General features: G+C 47.4%; 1 annotated feature.

Annotated features, from left to right (window-relative positions):
* Nucleotides 11554-12122: an enhancer, noted in NCBI's record as "H3K4me1 hESC enhancer chr11:44356123-44356691 (GRCh37/hg19 assembly coordinates)". NCBI's record gives its function as "activates a minimal SCP1, AML or CMV promoter by ChIP-STARR-seq in primed H9 embryonic stem cells {active_cell/tissue: H9 hESC(primed)}" and the evidence as "EXISTENCE:reporter gene assay evidence [ECO:0000049][PMID:30033119]".

The raw sequence follows: 14034 nt of genomic DNA, 5'->3' as shown, positions 1-14034 counted from the left end.
CTGAGGATCTTCCTGGCCAGGCATGGAGTCACAGCAGAGGAGGGGGCTGTGACTGAGGATCTTCCTGGCCAGGCATGGAGTCACCTTCCCCAGAAGCTCAGTGTGCAGGGTAGGGTGGGACAGCACAGGATGGGGTCTGGCCACCATCTTACAACCCCTGTTCCATGTCCTCCCAGACAGCAAAGTGCTCTCCCCTGGGAGTGGAGGTAGAGTTGCAGGGGCTGGGAGCTTGATCCCAGGTAGCATGGAGGCCCCTGCCTCAAGGACTCCTGACACGTTTGGTCTAACTTTGACAAGAGGTGAAATAGACATCTGAGAACCAGAAGAAATTATGGACTCAGGAAATGGGGAGGATGGCCAGTTAGTACTACCAGCGCCCCCGCCGTCTTGTGATGGTAAATTTAAAGCAAGACCACTCAGCTTGGTGTGGTGTGTGTTTTCCAGCCATGTTCAGCCATGCAGAGGCAGGTGCAGAGAGTGGACAAGAGACTGGAGCAGGGAGACCAGCAATTGAAGTCAAGTAGAGATTGGCCCTTGCATCTCAAAGGCCAGGAGGTGGGGAGATGAGGCCTGGGGCACACAGAAGTTGCCAGGTGCATTAGACACCAAGCCTTTCCCAAAAATGAGGTGCCTGCCTGATTCAGCCAGCACTCTGGGTTCGTAGCTAAAAGCTGTGTGCACCTCCGCCCCGGGCAGGGTGCCTTCCCAGGGCTGGCCTCTCCTACAGGGGACCAGGCAGCTTCCCTGCTAGGACATGGTGGGAGGCTGGAGCTGGGTGAGAGGAATAGGCACTGAGGCTCATTGGGCCATGGAGTGGGAGTAGGGGGCAAAACCCACTTTACAGGCTCCCATGGTGGCAAGAGGGTAAAGTGTGGGAGGTGGAGAGGTGATTAAATCCACAGGTTTCCAGAAATGGATGGAGCTGGCAGTCTCTACAACCGAGTACTATGCCAACAACAGTTACTTCAGTCCAGGATCAGCCCTCTCTCTGGAACAATGAGCCATTCTCTTGCTGAGAAAACCTTCCAGAAAGTTCCTGACATGAAGTAGGTGGTGTACGGCAAGCCATGGAGCTCCAGAGAGGGCTAAGTTTAAGTCCTTGCTTTTCTCCTGGGTGGCTTTGGCATGTCATTGAAACCCTCAGTTCCTCAGTGTCCCAATCTGTGAAGTGGGAATAGTCACACGATACTCTCTAGCCCTGGTGCAAGGACTATGTGAGATAGTGCGGATAAGGTGCCAGGCATGTAGTAGGCGTTCTAAGTAGTTCAGGTCATGCTGGACACTTGGTTGCCCCCACATTGCCCAGAGGGGCTCGGCATCCTGAAATGCTCAACCCCTCCCCACACCACCAAAGAGCACAGTCGGCCTCCGCTGGTGCAGTCTCCAAGCCGTGAAGCCCTCAGCCTTTTCCAGTGCCCACGTTGGCAGTAAGAGGACATTCACCCAGTCACCGGCTTAAGTCTGCTGAGCTCCTCCATGGAAAAACTTGGATGGGCTGGAAAATCCCAACTACAGTTACATTTTCAAACCTTCTCGCAATCCAAATGTCAACACCAATCGAAACAATATGTTTATTTTCAGACCTCCTGCCAGACTGGGTTAATTTCTACAGGCTCAAAGCCCATTTTGGAACTGTAATGTCTCAATTTTACAGATGAGAGGAGGGAGAGGGAAAAAAATGCCAAACTCTTCTTTGCCTTCTTGATTTGGGAAGTTGAGGGTGAAGAATAGCACCAGAGCAGGTTTTGTGGCTGGCCTTGTTACCCAGGAGGCCCCATCACCCAGAAATAGCATCTGGGGTCCCCATCTCTCCTACAACCCTCCTCTGCAAACACAGCTCTTCTCCTCCCTTCACCTCACAGCCTCCTTCTCCTTAGCTCTTGCAGGTTACCAATTTATCTGCCTGATGGGGGTCTGCAGGGGCAGCAGGTGGGGAGGTAGGCATTCAGCCAGGGTTGGGAAGACGAAAGCCAAGTAAAGGGATGAAATTCGTCTGCAGCCCCAGGGTTCACGTGGGACCCAGATGGGCTAGGACCTGGCTGTGCGGCTTATAATAAGGAGTACGATGTCTTGAGTCCAGACACTGGGCCCCGCTGGCAGAGGACCCAGCTCTGCCTCAGACATCCTGGCATATGCTAGGCATTAAGTGGGTGCTTTGCACCATCTGCAATCCTCACAGCAGCTTGGCAAGGTGGGTTTTTGCCACAATACCCATTTTCCTGATGAGGAAAATGAGGCTTGCCCAAGATCACCAGCATGCGTGTGGCAGAGTCCAAGTTGGAGGCTGGTTCGCCCAGAGATCTTGTCCTTTCCAGCCCTGGGCACCCCAGCAGTAGAAAAGTGGAAAGGGAGGTATCTCTAGGGAAACTTTCCTTGAGTTGACCTTCAAGACCTACCTACTCAAAGCTGAAGGGGCAGCTAGTTATCCCTAGATGAGAGCAGAAGGAGCAGGACAGACTGGACTCTGAGTATCGTCTAGTACTGCCTGGTGTATTCCCCTCTACTTACAATCCAACCCAGTCTGGCTAAAAAACAAACTCAACCTAACCTCCCCTCAGCAAAAATCAAATTATACGACTATTGTGAGAAACATGTGAAGTTATATATGTGGAAGGGCTGTGAAAACTCCTAAGCTCCTTCCCAATTGCAAGCCCCAAGGTATCAGAGCTCCTATCAGTCCTTCAAGGTGCAACTATAATGCCACCTCCTCTGAGAAGCCTTCCCTGCTTTCCATGTGTTTTCACCACTGGAGAACACTTCCTTTTCTCTACCTGGTGTCCTACAAGAGGTTTATATGTCAGGAGGTCCAGTAAAGAGCTTCGCACACAGGAGGTGCCCAGATAAATCCGTACTGAAGGAATGAGATGAGAATGAAGATAACATTAGCACCCCCTGGTTGCCCCATTTTAGAAATGAAGAAATTGAAGCTTAGAAAGATGAATTGGCCTGCCCCAGTCCCATAGTAGAACCTGCTTCATAGCCCAGGTCTATTTGACTTCAGATCATCATCAGGAATCAGAAGCAGTCAGCTGTGCCCACTGGGGACCCTCACCCAGGACCCCTGCTGCCCTGGCTGCTGCAGGAATCAGACTGAGCTTCAAGAAAAGCAGGCCAGGAAGCTGGAGAGCCAGGGCTGGCCTGCCACCTCTCATCTCTAAGCACACCCAGAGATGACCATCTGATAGCTCCAAAGGACCCAGGCCATGGAACATGGGGGTCTCAGGAAGGACACATAAGTGGATTTGCTTCAAACAGGTCTCACTCTTATCCCCTGATGGGGAGATCAGGCCCAGCCAGGCAGGCCCTCCAGGTCTGGGCAGGTAGAGGAAGTGGGGGTCTCTTTCCCACTACAGCCTCAATAAACAACAGCAAAACTCATGTCCTGGCTGGATGTAGTGGCTCATGCGTGTAACCCCAGCACTTTGGGAGGCTGAGGCAGGCAGATCACGTGAGGTCAGGAGTTCAAAACCAGCCTGGCCAGCAGGGTGAAACACCGTCTCTACTAAAAATACAAAAATTAGCCTGGCGTGATGGCACACACCTGTAGTCCCAGCTACTCAGGAGGCTGAGGCACAAGAATTGCTTGAACCTGGGAGGCAGAGGTTGCAGTGAGCTGAGATCGCGCCACTGCACTCCAGCCTGGGTGACAGAGTGAGACTCTATCACACACACACACACACACACACACACCAAAAAAAAAAAGCTTAAAAAAAAGTCGCGTCCTGAGCAAAGTGTGTAAGACAGTCCTGGGGAATGTATCCTAGTGTTGGTCATCAGTCCTTGGGCCCAAGGGGAGTCCTGGAGCCACTGGGGAAAGTCAGATTCAGACCAGCATTTGTGCCACAGCAGAGTGGCAGGTCCCAGGGAGCCCACAGGAAGTGGTCCAGGCGCACATGCCACAAGGGGGGCCTTGGGCTTCCAGCTGGGATGTTAGCCCTCTTAGAACATGTTCATCTGAGAAGACCCAGGTCCATGTATTCCCCCACTCATTCATTTATCTATACTCACTTCTCCTTCGTTAGTTTTAGAATTACAAAAAGAATGAGCAAAAGGAGACAAGAAGTAAAAAAAAATCCACCCCAGATCCCACTTTTTAGAGATAATCCCTGTTACTACTTAGATACACATGATTCTGGATTATCTTCTATGAGTATTTTTTGTTTGTTTTAAAAGCAGAATCAAGACCAGGCATGACGGCTCATGCCTATAATCCCAGCACTTTGGGAGGCCAAGGCAGGCGGATCACTTGAGCCCAGGAGTTCGAGACCAGCATGGGCAACATGAGACCCCATCTCTGAAAAAATTAACAGAGTTAGCCAGCCTTTGGCCCCAGCTACTTGGGAGGCTGAGGTGGGAGGATCACTTGAGCCCAGGAGGTCAAAGCTGCAGTGAGCCATGATCACGCCAGTACACTCCAGCCTGGGCAACAGGGCAAGATGCAGACTCTAAATAAATAAATAAATAAGCAAACAAACACAAATGGGATCTTACTCTTTGAAACTGTTTTGTAACCTACTCTTTTCACTTTACAATGTGAAATTATTGTGTGCCCACACACACTTATGTAAGCTCACAAAATTGCTGGAAGAATATGCAAGAAATTATTGATGTGGTTGCTCTTGAAAGGAAGACTGCAGGTCTAACGTGGGAGAAAATCGTACTTCTAATTTCATATATTTTTATTTAAAAAACACTTCTAGAGAGCCAGGCCCTATTCTTCTAAGCATTGTACAAATGTTAACTCATTTCATTTACTTTAAAAGTACTTCTGTAGAGTTTTACTTTCTTACCAGGTGTATGTGTTGCTTTTATAATTTAAAATGAGTTTAAATTCACACATGGAGGAGCCAGGCGCGGTGGCTTATGCCTGTAATCCCAGCACTTTGGGAGGCTGAGGAGGACGGATCAGTTAAGGTCAGGAGCTCAAGACCAGCCTGGCCAACATGGCGAAACCCCTTCTCTACTAAAAACACAAAAATTAGCCAAACGTGGTGGCACATGTCTGTAATCTCAGCTACTCCGGAGGCTAAGGCAGGAGAATTGCTTGAACCCGGGAGGTGGAGGTTGCAGTGAGCCGAGATTGCATCACTGCACTCCAGCCTGGGTGACAGAGCAAGACTCCATCTCAAATAAATAAATTAATTAATTAATTAATTAATTAACACATGGAGGGAAAGTCTCTCCATGTCAAATAATGTCCACTTACATGTCGCTTTTACTAGCTGCCTGGAGTTTTCCATTGCTCAGCATCCTGGTCTAGGCCTATTTAAAGGACCGGTCCAGGGTGTATAAGGGCAGACTCCTCCGCTCCCTTGAAAAGGGGCAGAAGCAGAGAGAGATGACACCTCCACATGGCAGCCATGTCTGTGCCTGTTTTATAGGTGGAAACTCTTCTCTGTCCTTGAACCAAACCAGGTCACAGACAAAACGCCAGACAAGCCACATCAACTTGTTAAACCTCATACCAAAATGACCCAAATCCTAATTTCAAAAAACCAAAAATGTCAGTGGAACCAGAGCTATTTCCCTAAAACCCCTAGTGAGCTGCTCAAAGCAGGACTGGTCCTCTGTATTTTTGTAAGCAGTTCAATTAGACCACCCCTCAAATTTTTGTCTGAGACGACCTATTCCAGTATCTCGAGGCCCTGCATTTTATTCAGCGCAAGGGCTTTCTGGGGCATCATTCACGGAGGTGAGGTTCAAGGTTCAGAATCCAAAAAGCTTGGGTTCTTAGTGACCTTGAACAGAGTATAAACTGCTCTGAGTCCCAGAGTCCCACTTCCCAGGGCTGCTGTGGGATTAAACAGCCCTAAGAAGCAGGTTCAGAAAGCTGTGGCCGCAGAGTGGACTCCAGTGCTTTGGTGAAGTCCCAGGTGGTTCGGAGGGTAAGCCACAGACCCTCTAAAGTAGCTGAAGGCCTCAGACAAGAGCATTCCCAAAGCCTTGTCTCCCAGGCCTCTTCCAAGCCATTGAGAAGCCTGGGCTCAGAGCCTGGATGTTACTGCCTTGTTCCGGGCCCTAAAGGTCATGGGGGTGGTCGGGGGGGCGGGGACAGCAGCGATGCCCCAGCTGCTCACCCCTCTGAGGCCATACCTGCCTCAAGATGCCCATTCCAGATTCCAGGCTCAGCCTAGCTGGCAGCAGTACCAGGGTCACTGCCCCACTGGGAAAGAGGACCCAAGGGAACAAAAACAGAGCCTGAGCCTTGGCCTAGAGGGTATTGACAACAGCCCCCCACTCCCATCACACACCCACACACTCCCCCATCCATGTGCAGAGGGCCACATCTTGCCACTGAATTTAACTGCTGGCTGCTGCCTCCAGGCTCAGCGCTTTGGCCACCTGCAGATAGCTGCTTCTGAGCCAATGGTGGCACCATCACTCTTCTCCAACCAGGAGAAGAAGGTCAGGAAGAGGGTCTGAGGCCGGGTGCGGTGGCTCATGCCTGTAATCCCAGCACTTTGAGAGGCCAAGGCAGAAGAATTACTTGAGCTCAGGAGTCTGAGACCAGCCTGGGCAACATGGCAAAACCTCGTCTCTACAAAAAAAAAATACAAAAACTAGCCGGGCATGGTGATGTGTGCCTGTGATAGCAGCTACTCAGGAGGCTGAGATGGGAGGATCACTTGAGCCCGGGAGGTCAAGTCTGCAGTGAGCTGTTGATTGTGCCACTGCACTCCAGCCTGGGCAACAGAACGAGACCCTGTCTCAAAAAAAAGGGGGATGGGGGCTGAAAATCTGTGCTCTTGTGCCCCTGAACCCCTCCAAGGGAAAGCAGCCCAGACCTTCCAAGAAGGAACAGAGGCTCCAAGGGAGAAGAGTTCCCAAAATGTGCCCAGGAGCGCACACAGGTGACCCCAGAACCCCAGCACCCCAGCACCAAGCTCACAGAGCAGCCCAGGACTCTCAATCTCTCCTGGAGCCTCCCAAACCACAGGCTAAGGCGGGCTGTGAGCAGCATCTTCTAAAAAGGTGTTTATTTTTAGCAGGCTTCAGCCATATCATAATCCAGGCCCAGCTATCTGCTTGCAGGGAACAAAACAGTGCCACGAAATAAACCAGCACCATAGCCTCTCCTCACTCTTCCGGACCAACCTCTTCTGGCATTGCTGACAATTAGACATCAAAATGTGAGCTGACCCCAGGCCAGATCTGTCTCTCCAGCCTAACTGTGAGAGAGGAGTCAGGCCCAGGGCCCTCCTGTCTCAGGCACCAGGCCCCGTCTCCTGGAACTGTTGTGATAGTTCAGCAAAGGGTTTTTACCTGAAACACGGTCCCGTCCTCAGGAAAGACTTTGATCACTGGCAACGCCCAATGAAAACCCTCTTTATACACCCAGGAGACTTCATGTCCCCATCAGCTGACGGAGACAGGCCCTCCAAGGAAGGTTCCGGAACTCAGATGCTCCCACAGAGCACCAATTGGCAAATGAGCTCACAGTTCCAAAGCAAAGCGTAGTGCAGTAACACCGTCATGGCCCCCACCCCCTCCCATCCGAGCTCAGCCTGCAAATACTTCACATTCTTCCAAATTAGAAGGCCAGTCCCTATTTCACCCAAAATGCAACTTAAGACTAAAATCCCCCCAGTCTAAAGAAGGCACCCACCCCCCACCCCCGGCCTCTGGGAAGCCGGGGCTGAGCTCTCCACTAGCTTTGTTTGGCCTCTCTCACACCAGCTTCAGTTAGCTGGGGGTGCTTTTGTTGGCACATAAGTGCTCACAATAATTATCCAGAAAAACGAATGCTACCTGAGCATTGCTTACCAACCTGTCATTTAGAGTTGTTGATTTCTGGGCTAGGCAAACACAGAGAATGCCACTTTGGCCTTGCCATTCATCTTCACAGCAGACGTGAATTTTGTTGCTGAACATGAACGCAAAAAAGTACTTTTCTCTCGAGCCGGGGCTCAGGTCTACTCTAAAATGCATACACAATTCATAATGATGCATTTGATTAATGGTGAGTGAGCATGGAATTCTTAGAGCCAACACATGTGACAGCCACATTAGCACCAGATGAAACTGTCATGTGGGGTGATGTGACAAAAAAACCAAGAGCAAGTGACTGTATTTGTGGAACCCTGGCCACATGGCAGATGAAAACCAACTTTTCTGTAATTTCTTTTTTTTTTCCTTGTAAGGGAGGAAGGCAGAAGAATAATCCACAAATGAAGATAAAGGTGGAAAAAATGAATCCAATTTTGCCTTTCAAAACAGAAATATGAGATTCCACTGTAAATGATCGATTTCTTTTTCTCTCCTATCCACGGCTCAACTTGTAAATCCAAAGCCATCATACTGGGAAAACGGTCTCTTGTGGCTCTCTGATAAGCTCAGCTGTTACTGATGGTCAGGAAAACCATTTGAAAAAGGACAGAGTTCTTAAAACCAGTTGGGCAATTCAAATAGTGCTGGAAATGGAGGCACGGTGACCACGGAGCGACGGGCAGCTGCCTGGCCTGTGGCTGTCAGACCCAGCGCTGGCAGCACCACAGCCAGAGGGTCGGCGTCTGTTTTAAACGCCTGCACTTTGCTGGGTGTGGAATGTCTCGAACCTCAGCCCCTGCAAGTCTTATTGAAAACATTATCTTTTCCATCAATAATACCTCAAAGTTCTTTATTAGCAAACTCCCTGGCAAAAGCTGACATATTTACAGCACGCAGTAAACTTTACGTATCTGCAACAATATTAAAGGAGAGCAGCAGTAAGCCCTCACTCAGTGACCACAACAAATCATTCCATCTTAAAATGATCAAGTAGGGGGCTAATTGTCCTGAAGAGAGGGGCTCCTGACAACTCCTATCCCATCCACCAGCCAGAAGGAGCATTAACAAAGATGAGAAAAGTATGTTTCAGGCTTGGAAACATAAGCATACATATTAAAAAAAAAAAAAACAGAAAAAGAAAAGAAAATCCAACTGATATCACCGTAGGCTGAAGGAGAAACCTGATCTTGAGATGGAATGGTTAACATTTGGGGTTGTTTGGAGAGAATTGCTCCAAGCTGTTTTTGTTCAAAACGTATAGATTTAAGGTAAGAAGCACTGTGTAGCCTGTACAGGTCACAACCACTTTGGAAGCAAGTTCCCCATTACTTTTCAACTGACTAAGGTAGGGATGAATTTTGTTTTATCTTTCTCTAACTGGGTAGTAGTTTCGTGGATTTTCACTTGGAAGCGCACTAGAAAAATGTTTACTTGTCTTGTTCTTTTTATCACTCTGCCAGCGTTTTCTCCTTTCAGATTATATCTTTCTGGAAGCTCCTTTCTCCCACTTCACTCTTGCCTTCAGGCCAATAAAGCGTTGACCCAGAGCCCCAAGTCTCTCCTAGCCCACTGCTCTCCTAAAGAAAGAACTCGGAGTTTGTGGGAATTCCCCTGTTTTCCTCTTCATGGAAAGGACAATTTTATACACATATATTATATACCTATTGTAATCTGAAGGTTCCCCATGGCGAGCACTTAGGATGTGAGGGACCCCAGTCTGCAAAACTTCTAGCCACAGACAAAATTGTTTGTTTGGATAAAAGTGGAAATAGATGCCTATTTATCTGGGAGGAATTGCATCCATCGTCTTATGGGAAGTATTTGATTTTTAGTAATTATTTGGCAAATCCAAAGAGGGAATTGGGTATCCATTTGAAACTTCTGTTTTCTATCCATTTTGTTAAATGAGTTTCTCTTCCCCTTAAACTCCACATTAAATTGTTTCCCTCAAGGGAAAAAAAAGAAGAAAAAAACAGCATTTTCAACTCTAAAAAGCATAAATACTTCTTTAGAAGAAAATATCAAAGGTATCTTAGGGAGGAAATGAAAATAAATGTGTTATAGAAGGACAGTTTTAAAAAGCTTTTGGGGCTCTGCATTTGAACGGAAAGACTATGGAAACTCGTACTAATAACCAGTTTCCCTGGGGCTGTTCATTTGCAGGGATCGGCTCCTCCAGTCAGCATTTTAAAACCCTTCTTCAAAATATCTGTATTTGTTTCCAACTTCACAAATGGATTGTCACATGCCTTCACCATTTACCAAAAATAAAAAAGAAAGAAAAATTAAAAAGGAGAATGGAGTGTATTTAAACCGGAAAATTTATCTTCAGGTGAAAACTTTGAGGAAAGGAATCTATATTAAGAGTTCTATTTTTAAAGGCAGTGGTCAGGGCAGATTAAAACAGGAATCGGTGACAATAAAATGTCATCAGATTCTTATACTTTTGCTGTACAGAACATCATCAAAGTCACCCCATATGTTAACATGCTTTTTATATATCTTTTGTATGCGGCATCAATTTAATTTTTATCAACAATGACAGTCCCAATCTCCAAATATTTGTGTCAGGGGCAGGAAAGGGATACATACCCCAAAAATACCCTCAAAATTATATACTGATGTCAACACCACTCTTTAGAGCTGTTATGTTTTTGTGGCTTTTCTTTTGTAAAAACATCTTTTCCACAGGCTTTTTGTCCATACCATATCTGTATGATTTTTTTTTTTCTCGCAGTAATGGGGACCACAGCTTTTGGCTACGCCATCAGCAATATCGTTTAATTTATTCTTTCAACCTCAGTGAAGCCATGCTCTTTCTTTTTTGGTTGATCCGTGCTGGAAATGAATTCCACAATTTGCAGTCCCAGGCATCCCTTACCCCATAACAACACAAGATGTGGAAAATGTGCTTAAGATTGAAAATCACATTTTGGAAATCCAAGCGTTTCTCTTTCCAGACTTTTGCTAAGCCGCTTATTGTACAAATCCAGGTATTACTTAACTATCTCTAGGGGTAAAAAATAATAATAATAATAATAATAATGATAAAATAAAGCACGATGTACTATTTATTGTATTTCATTAGATAAACCTCAAAAAAGTAAACATTTTCTCCCCGCGATTCACCCGCTGCCTGTTTCGGATTTTAATGCAATGGGTATGTTTTTTCAGGATCTCGAATATTTATATTTCAAAACTTAAATATCTTTATTTAAACCATACAGCCTCAATCTCCAAAACCCTGGATTTTTAATATTTTGGCGATTGAAATCTGGCATGTTTGAAGGTTTGTCTCTCTGCAGAAGTCTCTTGTTATCCAAAGCAGAAAAAACAAACTAGGGACGGATTACGAACTGCCCAACGCTGGCTGCCAGCACAGCGAAAACACTGCCTCCGACTCCCTCAACGCCCTGCCCTGGGGATAACTACTTTCTTAATAATAAATAGGGAAAATGTAAAATGTTTTCTTTAAATTAAAAATCGAAACGAATTGTTTTAATGAATATTTCTGGTTATGAGGGTAAAGCCTGCCTTCGTGTGTACACTTTCTGAAGAAAAATTTCCTGTGTGGTTTTCCCTGTGAGATCAAAAGGAACTAATTAACTTTTCTATAAGGTAAACAAAACTTTAACTTGAAATATCCCCATGAAGTATGTGGGAAGTGAGCTTTTGTGTGAGTGAAAGCAGGAGGGAGAGAGAGAGGGAGGAAGGGAGAAAAGGGAGGAGAGAGTTGGGTTTAATTTTATATTCAAAATCGTCTCATGCTCAGAAGGTATTGGAAACTCCTTACCAAGAGTCAGCCTTCTTTATCCTTCCCCATTACCAAAATGATATTTAAATCAAAGGCTGAAATGTTGCCAAGTTCAAATCCCTTGTAAGATTAATAGGGCATTGTTCTGTTCATAGAAAATGTGTTCTTCTTAGAGCCCCTTTAAGAAGAACTGGGTGTGTGAAGGACCATTCGGGAAAGAGTGTGGGAAAGGGAAAAATCTGGAAAAGCGGCCCTGGATGGGGGTGGAAGGAAGAGAGAAGCTTCAAGAGGACGGACAACCACTGCCCCACCCCCAGCCAGAAGTAATTGGGGTCAGGGGACCAGGCCTCCAGCTGGAGCCCCATTTCCCCAGGACCTGGCTCATTTACAGAAGAATGAGGAACAGGAGGAGCAGCTCTGAGGGGTCCCTGAAGGTCTTTGAGGTCATGCCCTTCTGGGTACTGACCCCAAGCTGTGCTGAGAGACTGTGGGGAGCTCCTGCCTGCCCCTCCCAGGAGGAGCAGCTGCAGCCGAGGGCTGGTCCCCCTCCCAGGACAGCGAGTCCTTGGCCTGTTTCGGGTGAGCTGCCTGGGTCCAGGGGGCCCCTGGCTGGGCCTCTTTGCCCTTGCCAGGGTACAGACAGGCAGCCAGCCCAAAGGACAGAGACTGGAGGAAGCAGTGTGTGTGTGCATGAGAAGAAGTCTCTGCTGCAGGGCTCAGCAAGGCAGACACTGGGCCGATACCTCCCCTGGGCCTGGTATTTCCAGAGCAGAGGCATAGGTGGCACACACCACTCAGACACACTGCTCCCCACACCTCCGTCACCCCAGAAAGGCTGCCCTGTTAAAGATGGCAATTGTTGCTGTACCAGCTGACATTTATTTCATGCTTCCCAAGCCCGGCTCTGCACACAGTGCTTCATAGGCTTTGTCTAAAGCATTACAGCAACTATATTAGGGACTGCTACTACCAGCAGAAGAGGAAACTGAGGCAGAGAGGGCCAACGTACCTTGCCCAAGGATACCCAGCTACTTACAAGGTCGCTAAGCTACTAAGAAGCAGGCTAGCTGCATAGAGCCCCAGTCACTAAGCTAGGATGGGGGGACTGGGGAGACACATCAGTGGGAACTCCCTGGGGGCAGCCCCGCCCCGCCCCAGGGGCGCAGGCTCAGTCCACTTATATGTCCTGTCTGGGTCTGTTCTGAGCTGTGTGTCAATTATGTTAGTAGTGATGAGGGACCCACCTTAAGCTTGTTAATTCATGTATCTGGCACCTAAGTTTGCAAATAATTTGCTTTCATGCCAACTGAAGTCACCCCTACAAACCATCCCTCTTACTCACAACAGCATCCAGGGAGCTCTCTTTGAGAGGACAAGGAAGAGTGAGTCAGGGGACGCACATCACCCGAAGCCCATGTTGTCTCTGATGTGGCCCTTAGAAGCGTCCAGAACACATGCCATCCTTCCTAGATGGTGTGCCGACAGTAGGGGGACGGGGGATATATTTTTGAATGCCCCCAACTTATCCTTTTTGCTTGAAGAAGAACTAAATTCTTACAGAAAAAAAATAAGGAGCAGGGAGACAATAACTATTACACCAGTTTCAGTAGCAAGACCAGCAGCAATTTTCCCTAAGGTCACTGATAAGAGTTGAGTCACACCAGCGTTGCCTCATCCTGGCTGTGTAACCTTGAGCAAATTGCTTTACCACTGTGAACTTCGGTTTCCTCATCTGTTAAGTAGAGATAATTCTAGCTGTCTAAAATGGGATCAAGTATGTCCAGGACCTAGTGATCAGTCTTCATAGAGGCTTAAAGAAAAATTGTTCCAGTGAGAGCACATGGACACGGGGAGGGGAACAACACATACTGGGGCCTGTTGGGGGAGGGTTGGGGCGGAGAGCATTAGGAAAAATAGCTAATGCATGCTGGGCTTAATACCTAGGTGATGGGTTGATAGGTGCAGCAAACCACCATGGCACACATTTACCTGTGTAACAAACCTGCACATCCTACACAAGGACCCTGAAACTTAAAAAATAAAATTTTTTTAAAAAAAGAAAAATTGTTCCCTTTCCTTTTCATCCCCAAACCTTAGCAGCCCTTCCATACTTAAAATCAATTGCTGCGTTTAGGCTTTCATCCTTTTTAAAATGTGTGGTTATTATCAGGGGTGTCTTTCTTTGTCATAGCCAAATCCCACTCATTTTTAGTTTACCAACCACAGCAGACTCTTGCTGATTTCAGACCTTCCTTCTCCCTGGAGACCCCTCTTTGGTTCCGGTGCCTTAGCGTGAGGATTCTCCATTTCCCAGGGCAAAAATCCTGTTGCTCTGAGCCCCTGCAGTCCCAACACCCAGAGCTCTGTACTCAGGCCCCTAAGTCATTAGCAACAAACACTGGCTGACTTAGCAACAATTTAGCAGCAAACGCTGGCTGAGTGCCTACTGTGTGTGGTTACTGCACTGATTTTTGGGAATCCAGGTGTGGAACTGAGAGACGGGGCGGGCTCTG

Source organism: Homo sapiens, chromosome 11 (assembly GCF_000001405.40).
Source record: "Homo sapiens chromosome 11, GRCh38.p14 Primary Assembly".
In the NCBI taxonomy this organism is placed as follows: domain Eukaryota; kingdom Metazoa; phylum Chordata; class Mammalia; order Primates; family Hominidae; genus Homo; species Homo sapiens.
The sequence above is the reverse complement of the archived record's forward strand: the minus strand, read 5'-3'. Positions and strand labels throughout refer to the sequence as shown.